Here is a 21,645-nt window from a genome sequence, read left to right as displayed (position 1 = left end):
AGGGGATTAAAAGTTAAGGTATTGATTAACTTTGGAGAATCTCACAACTCATTTATTTAAAAAAAATTTGGAAAGATGGTCACATGACATTACTTATATGTGGAAACTAAAAATGTTGAAATTATAGAAGCAGATGATGGGGTGGTTACCAGGAGTGGGTCTGGGCAATTGGGAGATGTTGCCCAAAGGATACAAAATGTCAGTTAGGAGAAGTAAGTTCAAGAAGTCTATTGTACATTATATTAGTCCATTCTTGCATTGCTATAAAGAAATACCTGAGACTGGGTAATGTATAAAGAAAAGAGTTTTAATTGGCTCATGTTCCACATGCTTTACAGGAAGAATAATGCTGGCAGCTTCTCAGCTTCCAGGGAGGCCTCAGGAAGCTTACAATCATGGCAGAAAGTAAAGGGGGAGCGGGCACATCACATGGTGAAACCAAGAGCAAGAGAGAGAAGGGGGAGGCGCAACACACTTTTAACTGACTAGATATCATGAGATCTCACTTACTATTATGAGGACAGTACCAAGGGGGATGGTGCTAAGTCATTCATGAGAAATCTGCCCCCATGATCCAATCACCTCCCACCAGGCTCCACCTCCAACACTGGGGATTACATTTTAATATGAGATTTGGGCAGGGACACACATTCCTCCCATGGCCCGTCCCAAATCTCATGTCATTCTAACATTTCAAAATACAATAGTGCCTTTCCATTAACCCTCCAAAGTCTTAATTCATTCCAGCATGAACACAAAAATCCAAACTCTCGTCTGAAACAAAGGAAGTCCTTTCTACCTGTGAGCCTGTAAAATCAAAACCAAGTGATTTACTTCCACAATGGGGGTACAAGCATTTGGTAAATATTATTGTTTCCAATGGGAGAAACTGGCCAAAAGAAAGGGGCAACAGGTCTCATGCAAGTCTGAAACCCAGCAGGGTAGTCCTTAAATCTCAAATCTCTGAAATAATCACCTTTTACTCCATGTCCCACATCTAGGGCCCAATGGTACAAGTGGTGGGCTCCCAAGGCCTTGGGCATCGCCACCTTTGTAGCTTTGCAGGGTATAACCCCAGAGACTGTTTTCACAAGTGGTTGAGTGCCTGCAGCTTTTCCAGGTGCAGTGTGCATGTTGCTTGTGGATCTATCATTACAGGGTCTGTAGAACAGTGGCCCTCTTCCCACAGCTCCCCTAGGCAGTGCCTCAATGGGAACTCTGTGTGGGGCATCAAACCCTACATTTCCCATCCACACTGCCCTAGTAGAGGTTTTCTGTGAGTGTGCTGCCCTTGTAATAGGCTTCTGCCTGGACACTCAGGCTTTCTCATACATCCTTTCAAATCTAGGGTGCCAAATCTCCTTCACACTTGCCCTCTGTCTACCTGCAGGCTTAACACCATGTAAAAGCCACCAAAGCTCATGGCAAGTTGCCCCCTCCACAAATAAGCCCAAGTTGAACCTCAGCCACTTTGAGCCGAGGCTGGAGCTGGAGCAGTACTGGATGTGAGGAGTAGTGTCCTAAGACTGTGCAGGGCAGCAGAGCCCTGTTAGCCTGGCCCATGAAAGCATTCTTTCCTTCCAGACCACAGGGCATGTGATAGAAGGGGCTGCCACAAAATTATCTGAGATGCCTTTGAGACCTTTTCCCCATTGTCTTGGATATTAGCCCTTGGGTTCTTTTTAGTTAATGCAAATTTCTGTAGCAAGTGGTAGCTCCACAGCCTACTTGAAATCCTCTCCTGAAAAAGCTTTTTCTTTCTTTGCCACATGACCAGGCTGCAACTTTTTCAAACCTTTATGCTCTGCTTTTCTTTTAAATATAAGTTTCAATTTTAAGGCATTTCTTTGCTCTCACATCTGAGAATAGGTGTTAGAAGTAGCCAGGCCAAATCTTGAATGCTTTGTTGCCTAAAAATTTCTTCTGCCAGATACCCAAAATCATCACATTCAAGTTCAAAGTTTTGTGGCAGCCCAGGTCTCACTAACGCAGGCATCCATTACAACTGTCTCAGCACTGAACGAGTAGCTAGGTTAAACATTAAAAGCTGATTGAGCCAGCGTCCTTATACAAAGGCTGAAATGTAACAAAAAATTCACCAAGAGTTTGCCTAGATCTTTCCTGGGCTTCGAAGCATGACAAGTTAATGAAGGAATTCTTAACAGGACCCTTTTAGGATTAAACAAGTTTTATTGGGGGTCTGAAGAAACTGCCCAGGCCTCCAGAAACAAGTTTATTGGGGGTCTAAAGGAACTCCCTAAGCTCCATGATTTAGCAGGAGACAACATAAGGGTAATCACCCCAGTACCTGGACCCATTTAGGTTAAGTAAATTTACTGAAGCTCCAAAGAATGTCTTCAGGACTCACATCTTAGTTATAGATGAGAAGAATTTAACCACATATGTCTTTAGATGAATGAACACTTACACATGGACATACAGCTTAAAAGGTGTTAGGAATGCTTGTTCGCCGGTACCATAAAGAAATAGCACCTGAACATAAATTTAATTTCCTCAGCAAGGCCATTTTTACTTTCTGCAGAAAGGGTACACTCGCCAACAGTTTTGTCACAAGAGTACACCAAACAAAGGAGACAGGGTGATTTATAACCTGATGCATCCACCCTACTGCTGTGTCCAGTTTCCATTGGCTGGAATGGGACCTCACATTCTGTATTTGCCCCAATTGGCTAGCAACTTAGAACTTTTTAAAAGAGGCAAAGGCAGAATAGAACAAAGGAAGGAGGAAGTAACTTGTGGAATGCTAAGAAAGGTAAAAACATCTTCAAATAAGGAAGAGGAACAGGCTATGACCTAATGCTTGCTTGGACCAGTATAAGCATGCCAGGGCAAAATTTAGGCTAAATTGTGGAAGCCAAGAACATAAAGTACATCAATTTCTTTATTACGGCTAGCAGATATTTAAGAATGTTAGCACAGGTCTTTGAATAAATTTTGCTTCTAAGAGAAGTTACTATTTATTCCTAATTAGATGGGGAGGAAAGTCTTTGGAGAGGAACCTCTACTTTACTTTTTACAAAGGTATATAAGCTTTGGAAAACTTTGTAATTTTGAGTTGGTCTGGCAATAATTTCCAGGCCTTCTCCCTGTAACGAGTTGCAGAAAATAAAACCTCTCTTTCTCCCCAGTTCATCTATATCTCATTATTGGGCTGCGAGAAATAGCAGCCCAACCGTCAGTTTGGTCGGGGAATAGTTTCACACATCCCACGGGCAGGGGCACGATGCAGCTAAGTTCTTTGCTAAAGCATAGCAAATGTGACCTTTGCTTCAGTTCTCAGTAAGTTGCTCATTTCCTTCCAAGACCTCCTCAGTCTGGACTTCATTTTCCATATCACTATCAGCATTTTGGTCACAAACTTTCAACATATCTCTAGCAAGTTCCAAATTTTCCCTCATCTTCCTGTCTTCCTCTGAGCTTTCCAAACCCTTCCAACTTCTGCCCAATTACCCAGTTTCAAAGCTGCTTCTGCATTCCCAGGTATCTTTATAGGAATGACCCACTACTCAGTACCAATTTTCTGTATTAGGTGTTTCTTGCATTACTATAAAGAAATACCTGAGACTGGGTAATTTTTAAATAAAAGAGGTTTAATTGGCTTATAGTTCTGCAAGCTGTACAGGAAGCATGGCAGCATCTGCTCAGGTTCTGGGGAGGTCTCGGGAAGCTTACCATTATGGTGGAAGGTGAAAGGGGAGCAGACACTTCACATGACAAAAGCAGGAGCAAGAGAGGGTCAGGGAAGTTGCCACACACTTTTAAACATCCAGATCTCATAAGAACTCACTCACTATCATGAGTATAGTATCAAGAGGGATGGTGTGACACCATTCATGAGAAATTCACTACCATAATCCAATCATCTCCCACCAGAACCCACCTCCAACACGGGATTACAATTCAACATGAGATTTGGGCAGGAAAACATCCAAATTATATCATACATCATGGTGACAATAGTTAATAATAAAATATTGAATACTGAAAATTGGTTAAAAAATGTAGACTTTAAATGTTCTTAATACAAATAAAATGTTAAGTATATGAGGTCATACATATGTTAATTAGCTTGATTCAGCCATTCTACAATGCACACATATATCAAAACATTACACCTGTAATCCCAGCACTTTGGGAGACCGAGGCAGGTGGATCACTTGAGGCCGGGAGTTGGAGACAAGCCTGGCCAACATGATGAAACCCCATCTGTACTAAAAATACAAAAATTAGCCACTTGTGGTGGCTCACACCTGCAGACCCAGCTACTCAGGAGGTTGAGGCATGAGAATCACTGGAACTCGGGAGGTGGAGGCAGAGGTTGCAGTCAGTAGAGATTGTGCCACTGCACTCCAGCCTGGGCAACAGAGCGAGACTGTCTCAAGAAACAAATAAAACAAATCATGTTTAACATCATGAATAAATACAACTTTAATTTGTCAATAAAATTTTTTTTAAAAAAGAAAATAATTCTACTGTAACAATAATCTTTAGTATTTTAGCTATTCCTTGTAGCCAACATTCTTCATGTAGCCCATGGAAGGACAGTGCCCCAACAGACGCAAAATAGCTGGTGAAAGGACATTTTTACCACAACAAGAAAAACTATAATGGCCCCCCACAAGGACACTTCATCTGAGTGCCTGGTACTGGCTAAAGTATACAGACATTTTGTCCTCCTGATCAGTGTGTAATTATTATCTTCATTTTACAAATAATAAAACTGAGGGAGACAGAGCTTGTGTTCTTTCACACATCACGCTGTTGGCCAGTGGAGAGGCTGAGTCATAACCTTCCAGTATAAGAAGCTGGAATCTACTGCTGCCACTTCAGCAAGCCACAATAAGTTTAGTACCTTAGAAATCTCATTTGTTGGGTTTTAAATGTATTTATAACATTAAATATGTATACTGAAGGATAATTGTAGTGCATATCTACAGAAGGAAGTGCAAAAATAAAATGAACTGATAAATCCACCATGCATCTTAATATCTAGAATAGCATCAAGATAGTTTTAAGCATGTGCTCCATGTCTGTCCTATTCCCGTTTCCATCTTCCTTGAAGAATACTTCTTTAAATTATCTTTTGAAAATGTATGTTAGAAGAAGACCATATTGTTGAAGGTTTGTTAATTTTATATTGCTTGGCCTCTAATTCTAAGATTCATACATGCTATTGGTTAGAGATGATATTTATTTTTATTTCTGTATGATATTCTATTGAACAAAGGTATCACACTTTATCCAGTCCTTTGACAATGGTTACTTACTGTTTTCAATTTTTTATTTTTTTGTTATTTTACAAACAGCACATACACACATGCACACATATACATAAAGGTTGCTGTGAACACTTTTGTTCCTGTGTTCATGTATAAGAGTTACCGTAACATATATAATTAAGAGTGCAAATGTTAGATCAATATGTATGTGATTATTGAGTGTTGCAAGAAAATGGCATTTTCCAAAATGATTGTTCCTAATCACACAACCTACAGCAAATTTGTCTGACACGCATCCTTTTCAATACTTCATGCTGCCAGACTTTATAACTGTTAGCAATCTAAGCACTATGAAATTATATGTTATTATAATCTCAATTTCCATTTTTCTGATTATTAACCAGGGTGAGCATGTTTTCATATGTTCATGGGCCATTTATATTTTCTCTTCTCTGTAATATTTCACACTTTCTGTATTTTTCTAAAAATAGGATTATTTGTATATTCCTTATTGATTTAAAAGTGTTACTTAAATTTTAGAGAGGAAAATACTTTATTTTACATTTCTCCTACCAATTCAGCGCTTGCATTTTTAATTTTCTTATGATGCTTTTGTCTAATTGATATCTTAAATCCTAGTCTTTCCTTTTGTGATTAGAGTCTACATCTTATTTAAGATACATTTCCCTAGTTTGAGAAAATAATTTCCTACACTTTCTAACACTTTAAAAAGTGTTGAAGTTGGTCTTTCAAATTTAAGTCTTTAATCCACTAGAATTAATTTTGTATGTAGTATAAGATTATGATCCAATTAATTTTTCTGTATGAATAACTAGACCTTTTATTGAATAACATTTTTTCCTTAAAGATCTACACAGCCATGCCCATCATTTGATGTTTTCATATTATTTGTGGGTCTGAGTCTAGTCTCTCTTTTTGTTCCATTTATCAACATATCAATTTCTGTGCCTATATCAAGTAACTTAATCAGTATAACGCCAGATGTCTTACTATATAATAGGCAAGCTGAGCCAACTTATGCTTGGACTTGCTCTACCACACATATTTTGGAACTGGTTTGTTATTTCATTTACAAAATCAATACTTGGGATATTGATTAAGTGTACAAAACTCTTGATAAATTTGGAGAGAGTAGATACAGTGATTATATTGAATTGTTTTATATAAGAATATTGTACATTTTCTCACTTATTTAGGGCTTAATATTGTTCAATATGATTATATAATTATCTCTTTCTGGCACATATTTAATTAAATGTATTCCTCATTACTTTATGATGTTTTGCTATTATAAATAATACCTTAAAATTATATTTACCAAATCTTATTTGCTGGTGAACAGAAATACAGATTTTATGTTGATATTATATACAGTTATCTTGCTAAATTTTTAATAATTTGTTTGTAAATTATCTTTTCCCTTTCCCAATAAACATATTTGCTACCAAAATTTAGTTCTGAGATTTTTGTTTATTTCATTTTTATGAAGCAATGTCTAATTTTCTCATCTATTATATTTTGGATTATGTACCACTTTTATTCATATGTATAATTTTTTCTGGTTATTTTTAAAATCTCTATCACTGTTTGAAGGATGTGTTTCTTAGTAATATGTTCATTTACATAAGCCAGTTTTTAATAACAATTATGAAATAATTGCAGCATCAAAAGTCTTTTGGATTCTAAGACCCTGATTTTAGTTTTTGCTTCTGACTCCTATTCATGGTGGTTCATTACCTTTAGATCTGGTTATTTCATTTGTGAGCTCAAATTTGCTTAATACAAATTTGCATCAATTCTAAGTGCCTAAATTGATTATTTTGGACACTGTGGACATTTAGAAATCAGTAAATGTAACTGACTTGAAATCTCTGTGGTCTCTTTCAAAGGCCTCTAAGGTTCCAGGCTGCTGAGGCTTACTCCCTAGATCACAGCACCAGTCAGCATCTGGCCCTGGAGTGTCTCTTCATTCGGCATCACTACTTATTGCTTCAGTTTCACATTTTTATGATTTGTTTGTTTTTACTTGTTTGGTCTGAGGGCCCATGGAGATTTTTCTTACCTCAAATATTTTAAAAAGTATCTTTTCCATAGAACCTAATTTTTCTGTTGGTGTGTTTATTTGTCGTTATCGAGATGGAAGTTGCCTCAGATATCTGGTTTACATACTACAAGTAATGGAGTCTTCAGATTAAATATTTTAACTTTGTAAATACATAATTTGGAATATAAGTGTTAATAAACAAAAACGATGACTAAAATCACAACTTAGTTTGAAATCCCCAGTTCTTTAAACTAAACGTAAGTCATTGTTTTGTGGGAAAAAGGCAAATGCCTATCTAGTGTGTCATACTTGGTGGAATACATCGATAATGACATGTAGTTTTTGACATTGCTGTAGTTTTGTTCTTTCATGTGGCTTTACCCACATATTCTTTATATTTAGGGGTGCTTATAGATGTTAGCTCAGACCATCTACAGGTATGTTCTCTCACTTTTGGATGAATATGTTTTAGGTTATGATTTAAGCTGCTTCACTGAGACTGAAAACAGCAGAGGCTCAAAGATCTCAGCACAACAGCTAAGGGCAGGTGTAGCAGCTCCACACTGCAAGTGAGGCAGGTTCCACTGTCGTGTTACTTCAGCAACCCTAGAGAGTTGCCCTCATCTGCATGGTCTGCAGCACATCATTACATCACCATACGCCCACAAAGAGAAAAAGATAAGGCACTTCCCTTTCCACTGAAGAATACAAGAAGCTACACGTCAAGCACCACATACCTTACAGGTCATCACATTGTAAACTTAATACAAGATCCAGCCTTCAACAAAACTGTGAGGTGAACAAAGTTTATCTTGCCTGTTTTTCTACTTCTATACCCCCATAATCTGGGCTTCCATTTCTGCTTTGCCTTCAGAGACTGACATCCCTCTAAAATGACCAGCTGATGAAAGCTGAAAGATGTTTTAGCCAAGCCTCTTTGAAATCAAAAAGTCTTCAAGATTCATAAGGAGGAAACTATAAATGGTAAGATTTCAGACCCTTTACAGATATTGGGGAAATACAGGGATCCACAAGATCCTTCCCAAACCACGGGGGCATTAACAACTCAGTACATGTTTTTGACTTTTCCTGCCCAAGGATATGAGTTTCCAAAGCTGACACATTTCCTGGATCCAGAATATCTTGCCAGTCTAGCTGTGGAATTAATTGTGGTGCAATAACCCTAGAAATACAAACTGTTAACTCCTTCCCCTCTTCCTACATCAGATCCAGGTGTAAGGGCTGACTCTGGTGCTTCATGCAAAGAGTTGCTAAATAAAACCACAACAAGATCAAACTTCAAAGAAACCCAAGCAATTGTTATGAATAGCTTCCACTTCCGTCTTTCCATTCCCAGAGTTATTTCAGTGGAGCAAAGTGAACAAATCTGTGATGCCCTCTGCTTTGGATCCTTTTCCATGTTCTGCAGAGGACTCTATCAAAGTAGGAAGTAGTAGTAGGAATCAAAGCAGAAAACAGGAGGGGAAACAGGGACTGAATGGTTCATGGGCTGGGATGGCAGCTCTGATGCCCAGAAAGACACCACCGGGCATAGGGAGCCTCTCTCCAGGCAGCCTGCCCCAGGATCCCCACAGCCCTCCTACCAACTAGGCAAGGAAGTGTGTCCCCGTAAGAGGAAACTGGGAAATGTGGTGTTTATACTTGGCAGCTACATTTCCAGTTAACATTTTGATGATCTGCTACTATAGAAGAGGCAGGATTCAATATGAATTGTTAATACAGTTGTTTTCTTTCTTTCTTTATTGCTAACTTCCTTGTGAGTCAAGACACATGATGCTAAGGATGGTGGTTGCATAGCCTCTGTGGTTAGCAAATGGAGCCTCATTCCAGAACTTAGCAGTCAGTAAGAGCCAGGAGGACAGAATGATAATATGTGTGTAATACATCAGGCATAATGTTAGACATTCCACATGCATTGGGCAATATTTAATTTCAGAAAAAATCCTAGTTTGGATTGTGCCTCAAAAGGGCTTTGAGGCAAGGATTTGGGTGCAATAGTTCAATTGAGAAATGATCCCAGGAAACAGTGACAGAACATGAAGAGACAAGGCAGGAATGAGATAAGGGCCAATAATTAATTCTCCAGCACCGCTCTCCCTCTCTGTGCTTTGGGCCAAGCAGATTTCCCTGGCCAAAGAATGCCCACACAGAGACAGTGAGGAAGCCATGGTTGTGCACAGGAACTGCAGTTCACCTGGAATTAGACCAGGAAATATAGGCAGGACACTGAGAGTGACTGTTGTAGCCCCATGAGGAACTAGCTCCATGTTCCAAGGAAGAATAGTGATGCTCTCAGAGATATTGAAACTTGACTTTTAACGGCATTTCTAGGCTTCACTCTTGCCCATATGACTACACAGCCTCTGTGTTATTCCCTTTCTCTGCATGAGAACACAAAAACACTCATTTTCTAGAAGTTTGGCTTTTCAAGATGACTGTGTGGGATCCCTGCTTGTAAACTCTTAACTAAGTCCCCAGGATCCTGTCTCCATTGACTCAGTGATGCAATTTAGTCTTCCTTTGAGTCACTCCCAAGCAGCTCAGACTCCCCTTGTCTATTTCCCAGATTCTGCCACAGTAATTACTGTGATTGGGTAATTATTGAAATACTGTGGCATAAAGCTGGTCGTTTGTATTTCCTATCCTCTCTGAGTCTGGGCCCTCCATGGGAGGAGCCTGTTTGGGAGTGGAACTGGGGGCGGTCCAAAGTACTTTTGGCAATAAATTTCCTCCCACTGGCACTGGGTGTCTGATTATTAGTAGAGAAAGAAAATTATCAAGTTGCTTCACCTTGGAGCACATTCTTTTTAAGAGAGAACCAAGGCAGTTGGAAGTGTTCAGGTTTTCTTTTATAGAATAAAGAAGGCACATTGTGTGCACATGTGTGTGTTGCTATATCCATGTTTGTCTGCTCCTACAACAATATATACATATATATGAAACTTTGTGCAACTATTCCTTTTCTGTAAAATGAAGATGTTATACTTTGCACTTGTGTATATATACACATATATAGTATAATATTCTAACAGTATATTATATTGTATATATAACATATATGGTATATCCTATATAAAATATCTATAAAACATGTTATACATATAACATCCCCATACGAAACAGATATATGTATATGTGTGTATGTGTGTTTATATATATACACACATATCTATAATATGTGTTTGTGTCACACATATGTGTGTGTGTGTGTCTGTATATATATGGGGGGGAGCGTAGGGAACAACATTCTCATTTTACAGAAAAGAAATAGAGGCACAAATAAGTGAGGTAACTTACACAAGACCCTAGAGCAAAATAGGATGTAAACTTGACTACAACCAAAACAGTTGGCCATATCTTCCTGCCTCTCCTGAGAAACCCCCACCAAATTAGACCAAAATTCCTCTTAAATAAGATACATTATAATATTCCTGCTTTCTTAAACAGAAAAGATACAACATACTGAAGACTTCTTTAGTAACTGAGTTACGTCTTCATTAACATCCTATTCTCTGTCTTTCTCATTTGTCTCTGTCTGTGATGTCTTTGTACAACCTGCCTGGAATGTGCTCATTCTATTACTATTACCTTCATTTGGCTCCTCCTGGCCCCTCAGCTCTGGCCCTGCACCTGGACAATCTGGGGGATACTTCGAGTTTTGTCACTTCCTTGGAAACGTGGCCTTAACCACTGATATCATTTTCATAGGGCCTTGTGCTTTCATGCAATAGCATTTGTCCCAGTTGTTAGGGTATAGTGACCTGTGTAATGATTTGAAAGTAACCTGCTCTCTCTTTATAAGCCCTGTAAGGACAGAGCCCATATATTCCATTTTCACAAGTGTGTATATCAGCAAAATATAAATACAAAACAGACAATCAAAAAAGTTTGTTAAGTGTTTCAATCGATTGTCTTCCAAAATTTCAGTCAGTCAAAGACAATACAGAAGAAAAATTTAGCCACTTCTCCAAAACATAATTGTTTTTATTCTTCCACATAATCTTCCAATTGCTAACAGTTTTTTAAATGATCCTTCTTTTTATCATAATGTAAATGTAATTCCATACTCTGCTGGATTGGGAACCTGATCATGTTGAGTATTTTTCTTCTGGTAACTATTTTTCACACCACTACAAAGTCCCTCTGTTATTAATTCACGGGGTGCTGGCACCGTTGCAGTGTCCTTACTTAGTCCTCCAAGGCTGCTTCCTCAAATTACTTCTCCTGCCATGTCTTTTTCTATTTTTTTGTAATATTATCCCATAGTAAACAATATTAAACATGAATTTTTTTTCCACTTAATTACTTTGAATAAATTCCCAGAAGTTGAGGTCAAGATGTATATAGCTACCTATTGCCCTAAAAATATCTTCTTAAAATACTCCCTAAAAAAAGTGTGAATTTAGATTTCTACTAACTGTATATACGCCCCATTGTCTCTTGCTACCTTCAAGATAGAGAAAGTTAACAATCTGGCTTGATATCTTCACATCTTTCTCTGTGTTCATACAAACATAAAAACGTACATTTACATGGAAAGGACTATGCTTTTGTGCATTTCTCTGTCCCTTGATTTTCTCACCCAACCTTCCTCCAAATCAGTTAAAGAAGGCCGAATATAACCTTTTAAATAACTGCTATTTTATCATATGAATTCACCAAATTAATCTCTAAATAATAGGCATTCAAAGTTGTTTCCAAGGTTTTTTTTTTTTGCGTGCTTTTTTTGCAGCATTACAAATAATTCTGTATTGAACATTCTTGGACATAAAACAATACTTACCCATGCTTTAACTTCTTGAACCTCTGAAAAGGGATTCCCACCAGTGAGATTACTGGGTCAAAGGTTATTTTAACTTTAAAATATGAGAGATATTGACAGATTACTTTCAAAATAATACCATAGAAATCAATCACCTCACTACATGAGATGTATATGAAAATAGCCTTCTCTCTGAATCTGCTAGAGATAATTGACTACGGAAAATTTGAAGTTTTTATTCTTTGCCTTACCTATTAAAAAAATCTGTCTACTTTTTATATGCAGTTTGCCTTTTTCTCCTTAATTTTAGGACCTAATACACATGCCTGAAAACACACACACCCTTTTCTTAATAGTATGAATTGCTTTGCAATTGTTTAAAATATAGTGTTGGTCTTTTTGCATAAAAAGTAAATAGTAACTTGAAAGCCATATATAATTTTATAATTTTATATAGCCAAATGTTTTTTTCTACATATCCTTAATTTCTTGTATAAATTACTCTCACCCTTACCACATTTATGTAGTCTTCTAAATTTTCTCAATAATTTTGAACATTTTACTTTCTACGTTGACACTTCTCATTTGGACATTTATTTTTACAGATGCTGTGATGTAATAATAGAAAATTTTTTTTGTTTGGATCTAAATGGATAATCAAAGTTTCCATACAATTTATTAAATGAATCATCATTTTCCTACTGAGATAAAATGTTACTCTCCATATATCCTTCTCTTCAATGGTCCTCAATTCTGTCCTCATCTGTCTTTTCCTGTTTTAATAACATATATTTTTGCAGCCTCATATAATTTATGTATACGGAAAACCATGAGTCTTTAAAAAATTGTTTGCCATTCTTAGACAAGTGATTTGTCATTATAAGTTGTTATTATTTTAAAATTCCCGTTCCCAATAAGTGGCTTGCTAGGTTTCTAATGGAATTTGCACAAAAATTGTATGTAAATTTTGACTAATATGGTTAAACTTTCTTCATGTATACATGTATTTTTCTAAACAGTTTTTTTTTTCCTGTAATTGTTTACATTGATCTATGGATTGTTCTTGTAAATTCAGAGAAAATGTATTAAACTTATGTAAATCCAACACCTTCGCCAACGTATCAATATTCTACTAGAATTTTTATGGTTTTATTAAGCAAACTATTACGTGGTCAATAAAAAGAAAGAATTTATTTCCTGACTTTTCATTCTTTTAATAATTACTATCCTTTTGGAATACGCTGTATGGGTTTTTCAAATACTTTTTCTGGCATTTTAAACATAATAATGTTTTTTCTTTGATTAGCTGATGACAGAAAAATGCACAGATATGTCCACCCCTAACAATTGTGCCCAAGAAAATTACACAAATGGAGGCCCACATAACCCATATCTAAATATTGAAAAGTCATAAATTAACCTATTATAAAATAAACTGTTTAATAAAACATGTGCTACCTTCCAACCTTGACTAACACGTCTCCATAAGCATCTGGAGAGTCAATTTAAACTTAGCATTGTCTTCCTACGAATTCTACCCCAGATAATGAAGGCACACGGATTATGGACCCTGGCCTATGAGACTACCACGAGAATAGTGATTTCTGTTTGCTGAATTGCTGTCCGTAATCTTTGGTAACTTTAGTTGCTTCCTTATTTTTTTATGTGGACAATCATATTGCCTGCCAATAAGCAACAGTGATAAATTATTAGTGATTTTATCTTTTGTTTTATTTTTTTCTTCCTCTGCCCCTCCTTCTCTTTTTCTCTTTGTTTCTTTGTTACTACATTAGTCAGTTCTTTCTGAACAATGTTGAGTAGAAGCCATGGTAATAGTAATTCTAGCCATGCTCTTGAATTTATAGAAAATCGATTTAAAGCCTCATTGCTAACTATGATGATTACTGAAGATTTCTGTGAGATACATTTAAGAAGAAATCCTATTATTTGTAAGTTATTCCTAAAATGTTTAATGGTGGATTATTGTTTAATTTTATCAAAAGATTTTGCTTTACCTATTAAAAAGATGGTTAAAGTCTTGCTCTTTAAATCTGTTAATATGAGGTATGACAGTATAATTTCTGATTTTGAGAATACATTCATTCCTAAAATAATTTGGTCTATAATTCTATGCATATATTTTTAACTCATTTTTTGGGGTTATTCACAAAATAGCTTTAAGCCTGCCAAATTCCCTCTCTCTCTCTCTCTCTCTCTCTCTGTCTCACGTGTGTGTGTGTGTGTATGTGTGTGAATTCTACTTTTGAAAGATATTTTATTGTCTCTTTCCTGGATTTGTTTTTGTGTGTGTCTGCTGTTAGTAGACATGCACTTACTTCTTATGTTGCTTATATTGTGTTGTAATTTCCCTTAACACAAGTAGAGGTAATTACCTTCTAGAGCACATCAGGATAATTTTTTAAAGCATGTATACATTCAGCTTTATTTGCCACTTTGTCGTTCTGGCTTATAGAGGTTGCTCCTGTTCATGTCTCTGTGTGCATAACAACCCCAGATATTGAACTACACCATGCTTTCCCACATTAGCTGGGGCAGGGATTGTGGCTTGGAGTTGAGAGCAGAAACTGGAGACGTATGCTAAGTTTCCACTTTACCCTGGCCCATGTCTTCATGTACATATACCATCCGAACCCTATGGAAGGCTGTTATTCATTTAGTTGACTATTTTAGCTCTTGGGATAGTCAGTCTGTTTCAATTTCTTTTCAGTATTCTCTGCTTCATTCAAGATGAGCTGTGATTTTTAACTAGACATTGCAGCTCTGCCTTAATAGCCTTCTTTCTTCCTAAGGCTACTATACAGTCATGCAACGCTTAAGAATGGGACAACAGTGTAACAAATGCATCATTAGGTGATTTTTTTTCATTGTTTAAACATCATAAAGTGTACTTGCCCAAACCTAGATAGTATAGCCTACTATATATCAAAGCTATATGGTAGAGATAATTGCTCCTAGGCTACAGCCTTGTACAACATGTAACTACTAAATACTGTAAGCAACTGTAACACAGTGTTAGTATGCGTGTATCTAAACATATCTAGGCTTAGAAAAGGTGCAGTAAACATATGATATAACAGATTAAAATAGTACACCAGTATAGGGCATGTACAATGAGTGGAGCTTGCAGGACTGGAAGTTGCTCTTGGGGAGTGAGTGAGTGATGAGTGAATGTGAGGGCCTAGGACATTACCATACACTACCATAGACTTTATAAACTATGTACAGTTAGGCTACACTAAATTTACAAAAAATTTTTTTCTTCAATAATAAATTAACCTCAGTTAATTGTAAATTGTTTACCTTATAAACTTTCTAATTTTTGTAACATTTTGACTCTTTTGTAATAATTCTTAGCTTAAAACACAAACGTATTATACACTGGTACAAAATATTGTCTTTATATCCTTATTCTATAAACTTTTTTCTATTTTTATTATACTACTTTTCACTTGATTTTACTCTTAAACTATTTTTTGTTGTTGTTGTTAAAACGTAAGACATAAACACACAGATTAGCCTAGGCCTACACAGGATCAGTATAATCAATTTCACTGTTTTCCACCTCCACATCTTGTCCCATTATGAGGTCTTCAGGGACAATAACACACATGGAGCTGTCGTCTCCTATGATAACAATATCGTCTTCTGGAATTCCTCCTGAAGGACCTGCCTGAGGCTGTTTCACAGTTAATGTTTCCTTTTATATATAAGCAAAAGGAGTACACTCTGAATTGATAAAAACTATAGTATAATAAATACATAAATCAGTAACATCGTCATTTATTACCATTATTAAGCATTATATGCTATGCATAATTGTATGTGCTGTACCACTGGCAGTGCCGTAGGTTCATTTACACCAACATCAAAACAATGATGCTTTGCACTATGACATTACAATGTCTATGATGTCATTAGACAATGGGAATTTTTCAGTTCCATTAAAATCTTATGGAACCACCATAGTATACGCCATCCATCAATGACCAAAATATTGCTATGCAGTATATAAATATAATTTATTAACTCCATGTGCCAATCATAAATCTATAGAATATAGGAAGCATATAAATATTCTCCTAGTAATAAAACCTACAAGATTGAGATGATGGGGTTTATCATATGCCTTCTGGGTTCTCAGAGACTTTACTTGCCTAATCATTTTTCCAAATTCTGTTTGAGATTATTTACAAATAAATAACGTATACCTTGATAAGTTCCTAAACTATTGACTGGCAAACAAACACTAACCTTCAGATGTAATCAGAATCATAAAAAGAGAAAGATATAGTCATGTAGTATTCTTATTTAGGTAGAAATTCTTAGTGTTTAATTATATATAATTATATCTTAGGATAGAAAATGTAAATGTAGAAAAATGCCAGTGAACTAATAGTTAAGAGATCTGGAATCAGTTTGCACTCAGTTTGAGTTCAAATTAAGTATATTATACCTTTACAAACCCAATGTTTTAAGTATTATTTAAAAAATAATAAAACTGTAAACAGGGACAGTTTCACTTCCTCTCTTCCTATTTTGATGCCCTTTATTTATTTCACTTGCCTGATTGCCCTTGCCAGAACTTCCAATACTATGTTGAATAGGAGTGGAGAGAGAGGGCATCCTCGTCTTGGGTCAGTTTTCAAGGGAAATGCTTCCAGTTTTGCCAATTCAGTATGATGTTGGCTGTGGGTCTGTCATAGATAGCTCTTATTATTTTGAGGTATGTTCCTTCAATACCTAGTTAATTGAGAGTTTTTAAAATGAACGGATGTTGAATTTTATTGAAAGTCTTTTCTGCATCTATTGAGATAATCATGTGGTTTTTGTCTTTAGTTCTATTTATGTACTGAATTACATTTATTGATTTGTGTATATTGAACCAACCTTGGATCCTAGGGAAGAAGCCTACTTGAACGTTGTGGATAAGCTTTTTGATGTGCTGCTGGATTCAGCTTTCCAGTATTTTGTTGAAAGTTTTTGCATCAATGTTCATCAAGAATTTTGGCATGAAGTTTTCTTTTTTTGTTGTATCTCTGCCAGGTTTTGATATTAGGATGATGCTGGTCTCATAGAATGAGTTGTGGTGGACTTCCTCCTCTGCAATTTTTTTTTAGAATAGTTTCAGTAGGAATGGGACCAGCTTTTCTTTGTACATCTGGGAGAATTCAGCTGTGAATTTTTCTGGTCCTGGGCTATTTTTGGATGGTAGGCTATTTATTATTGCCTCAATTTCAGAGCTTGTTATTGGGCTGTTCAGGGAATCAATTTCTTCCTGGTTAAGTTTTGGGAGAGTGTATGTGTTCTGGAATGTATCCGTCTCTTCTAGATTTTCTAGTTTCTGTGCATAGAGGTGTTCATAATATTCTCTGATGGTTGCTTGTATTTCTGTGAAGTCAATGGTAATATCTCCCTTGTCTTTTCTGATTGTGTTTATTTGAATCTTCTCTATTTTCTTCTTTATCAGTCTAGCTAGTAATCTATCTATTTTGTTAATTTTTTCAAATAACCAGATCCTGGATTCATTGATCTTTTGAATGATTTTTTTGTGTCTCTGTCTCCTTCAGTTCAGCTCTGATTTTGGTTATGTTTTGTCTTCTGCAAGCTTTGGCATTTGTTTGTTTTTGATTCTCTATTCCTTTTAGTAGTGATGTTAGATTGTTAACTTAAGATCTTTCTATTTTTTTGATGTGGGCATGTAGAGCTATAAATATCCCTGTTAATACTGCCTTCGATGTGTCCCAGGGGTTCTCTTATGTTGAATCTTTGTTCTCATTAATTCCAAAGAACTTCTTGACTTTTGCCTTTATGTCATTATTTACCCAAATTCATAATCCTGTATCTAGAAAACCCCATAGTCTCAGCCTAAAAGCTTCTTAAGCTTCGGCAAAGTCTCAGGATAAAAAAATCAACGTGCAAAATCACTAGCATTCCTATGCACCAAAAACAGGTAAGCCACGAGTCAAATCAGGAATGAGCTCATATTCACAACTCCCACAAAAAGAATAAAATACCTAGGAATACAGTTAACTAGGGAGGTGAAAGATCTTCACAAGGAGAACGACCAACCACTGCTCAAAGAAATCAAAAATGACATAAACAAATGGAAAAACATTCCATGTTCATGGATTAATAAAAATCAATATAGCTAAAATGGCCATACTGCCCAAAGTAATTTATAAATTCAATGTTATGTCTATTAAACTACCATTGACATTCTTCCAAAAACTAGAAGAAACTATTTTAAAATTCATACGAAACCAAAAAAGAGCCTGAATAGCCAAGGCAATTCTAAGCAAAAACAGCACAGCTGGTGGCGTCATGCTACCTGACTTTATACAACAGGGCTGCAATAACCAAAACAGCATGGCCCTGGTACAAAACAGACACATAGATCAATGGAACAGAATAGAGAACTTACAAATAAGACTGCACAGTTCAAAGTATCTGATCTTTGACAAACCTTATAAAAATAATCAAGGTGGAAAGGATTCCCTATTCAATACATGGTGCTGGAGTAATTGGCTAGCTATATTCAAAAGATTAAAACTGGACCCTTTTCTTACACTACATACAAACATTAACTCAAGATAGGTTAAAGACTTAAGTGTAAAACCCAAAACTATAAAAACCCTGGAAGACAACCTAGGCAACACCATTCAGGACATAGGCATCAGCAAAAATTTCATGATAAAGATGCCAAAAGCAATTGCAACAAAAGCAAAACATTGATAAGAGGGATTTAATTAAACCAAAGAGCTTCTGCACAGCCAAAGAAACTATCAACAGACTAGGTACACAGCCTAAAGAATGGTAGAAAATTTTTGCAAACTATGTATTCAACAAAGAACTAATATCCAGCATCTATAAGAAACTTAAACAAATTTACAAGAACATAAAAACAACCCCATAAAAAGGTAGGCAAAGGATATGAACAGACTCTTCAAAGAAGCAATGCCTGCAGCCAACAGATCATATGAAAAAAAGCTCAACATCACTAATCATTAGAGAAATGCAAATCAAAACTACAATGAGATACCATTCACACCAGTCAGAATGGCTATTATTAAAAAGTCAAAAAATAACAGATGTTGGCAAAGTTGGGGAAAAAAAGAAATGCTTATACACTGTTGATGGGAGTGTAAATTAGTTCAGCTATTGTGGAAGACAGTGTGGCAGTTCCTCAAAGACCTAAAGACAGAAATACCATTTGGCCCAGCAATTCCATTACTGGGTATATTCCCAAAGACAAATAAACCATTCTATTATAAATATATATATACAAGTATGTTCATTGCAACACTATTCACAATAGCAAATACATGGAATAAACCTAAATGTCCATCAGTGATAGACTGGATAAAGAAAATGTGGTATATATACACCATGGAATACTATGTAGTCATAAAAAATGAGTTCATGTCCTTTGCAGAGACATGGATAAAGATGGAGGACAGTATCCTTAGCAAACTAACACAGGAGTAGAAAACCAAATACTGCATGTTCTCACTTATAAGTGGCAACTGAATGAGAAGAACACATGAAGAGGAGAACAACATACATTGGGGCCTATTGGAGGATGGAAGTTGGGAGGAGGGAGAGGATCAGGAAAAATAACTAATGGATACTAGGCTTAATACCTGGGTGATAAAACAATCTGTATAATCAACCCCCGGGACACATGTTTACCTATGTAACCAACCTGCACATGTACCCCTGAACTTAAAATAAAAGTTTAAAAAATCAATCAATCAAACTTAATAGAAAATTTAAATACATTGATGTATAAACACAACAATCTTAACTTTCTTCGAACTAATTATTAAGAATTTGGAATGCATTCTTTGACATCTTTGCTCAAGCTTGTGCATATATAGTCACAGAGATAAAAAAGGTTTTATTATGGCTTGTTTTTATTTTTAAATATAGAGTTGCATTACTAAATAATCTTGCTGCTTAATCATTTTGCCTAATGATACAGCAGGGGCAATGCTACAAGGTAATAGTCAAAGACAAATCTCAATTTTCATAACTAAAATATATTATAAAATTGGATGTTCAGAAGGTTTTCAGGTTTTATGGTTTTATGTTGTTTTTGCCACTGAAGCAATTTTGCAATAAAAATAACTGCACAGGCTGGGTGCGGTGGCTCACATCTGTAATCCCAGCACTTTGGGAGGCCAAGGCAGGTGTATCATGAATTCAGAAGTTCAAGACCAGTCTGGCCAACATGGTGAAACCCCATCTCCAAAAAAAATACAAAAAAATAGCCAGGTGTGGTGGTGTGTGCCTGTAATCCCAGCTACTTGGAGGCTGAGGTAGGAGAATCGTGTGCACCTGGGAGGCGGAGGTTGCAGTGAGCTGAGATTGCGCCATTGCACTCCAGTCCGGGTGACAATGCGGGACTCCATCTCAAAAACAAACAAACAAACTGCACATATATTCTTACTTTTTGCATATGACCTTTTATTATATAAAATTGATTCCAGCTTTTATTATTGATTTAGGCTGGATGCAGTGATTCACACCTGTAATCCCAACACTTTGGGAGGCCATGGATGGCAGATCACTTGAACGTAGGATTTCAAGACCAGCCTGGGCAAAAAATTGAGACCTGTTTCTACAAACAAATACAATAAATTAACAAGGGCCATTGATGCATTCCTATAGTCCCAGGTACTTGGGAGGCAGAGGTGGGAGGATTGTTTGTACTCAGGAATTGGAGGCTGCGGTGAGCTATAATCGCACCACTGCACTACAGTCTGGACAACTGAGTGAGATCTAGTTTCTAAAAAATCCTTTTTTTTTAATGAAATAAAATTGATCCACACATTTAGGACTTCCATGTCATGGCTTGTCTGATTTTTTCTTTTCACTTTTGCAGATTGGATTGATAGAGTTATACTATACTTAATTTGTGCTCAGAGTGCAAACTGAATCCAGAATGCTTAAGTCTTAGTCAGCTTGCATTTTCCTATACTTCATTTTTTACGTCTTAAGATTTGGTTATCTATAATTAAATACTAAGAATTTCCACATCAAAGAGAATACTTCATGACTACGTCTTTCATTTTTTAAATAATCCCCCAAAACTGTGTTGTCATTTCCGTAAGCAATAAATGAGAGTGACGATATCATCAACAGCCCTGTATTCTCTCTGCACTTTTACCAGCTGGATGGGCTAAAGTTGCATTAAATTATCATTTTAGTTTTATTTCTTATTAGTAGTATTGAAGTTAAATATCATTATTGGTTATTTTGATACTCTTATGACAGAGAACAAGAGAGTTGACCTCACTCTGGGTCTAGATAATAAATGTGTACTGTCATCCTTCACATATGAATGCATATGCGAAGGATGCAAACAGCTTTTGATCCCCTTCAGTGATAGAGATTGAAAATAAAATGCATTCACCTTATCAGTAGTTTCACAGCAAATGCCAGGTACTTTACTAACATATTGATACAAACATTCATCCCCCACTACTGGTGTTAAAATTAACACCTTGCAGTAATAAGTTTTAGTTTCTTGCCAT

Source organism: Homo sapiens, chromosome 2 (genome assembly GCF_000001405.40).
Source record: "Homo sapiens chromosome 2, GRCh38.p14 Primary Assembly".
NCBI classification, from domain to species: Eukaryota; Metazoa; Chordata; class Mammalia; order Primates; family Hominidae; genus Homo; species Homo sapiens.
This window is presented reverse-complemented; position numbering follows the sequence as displayed.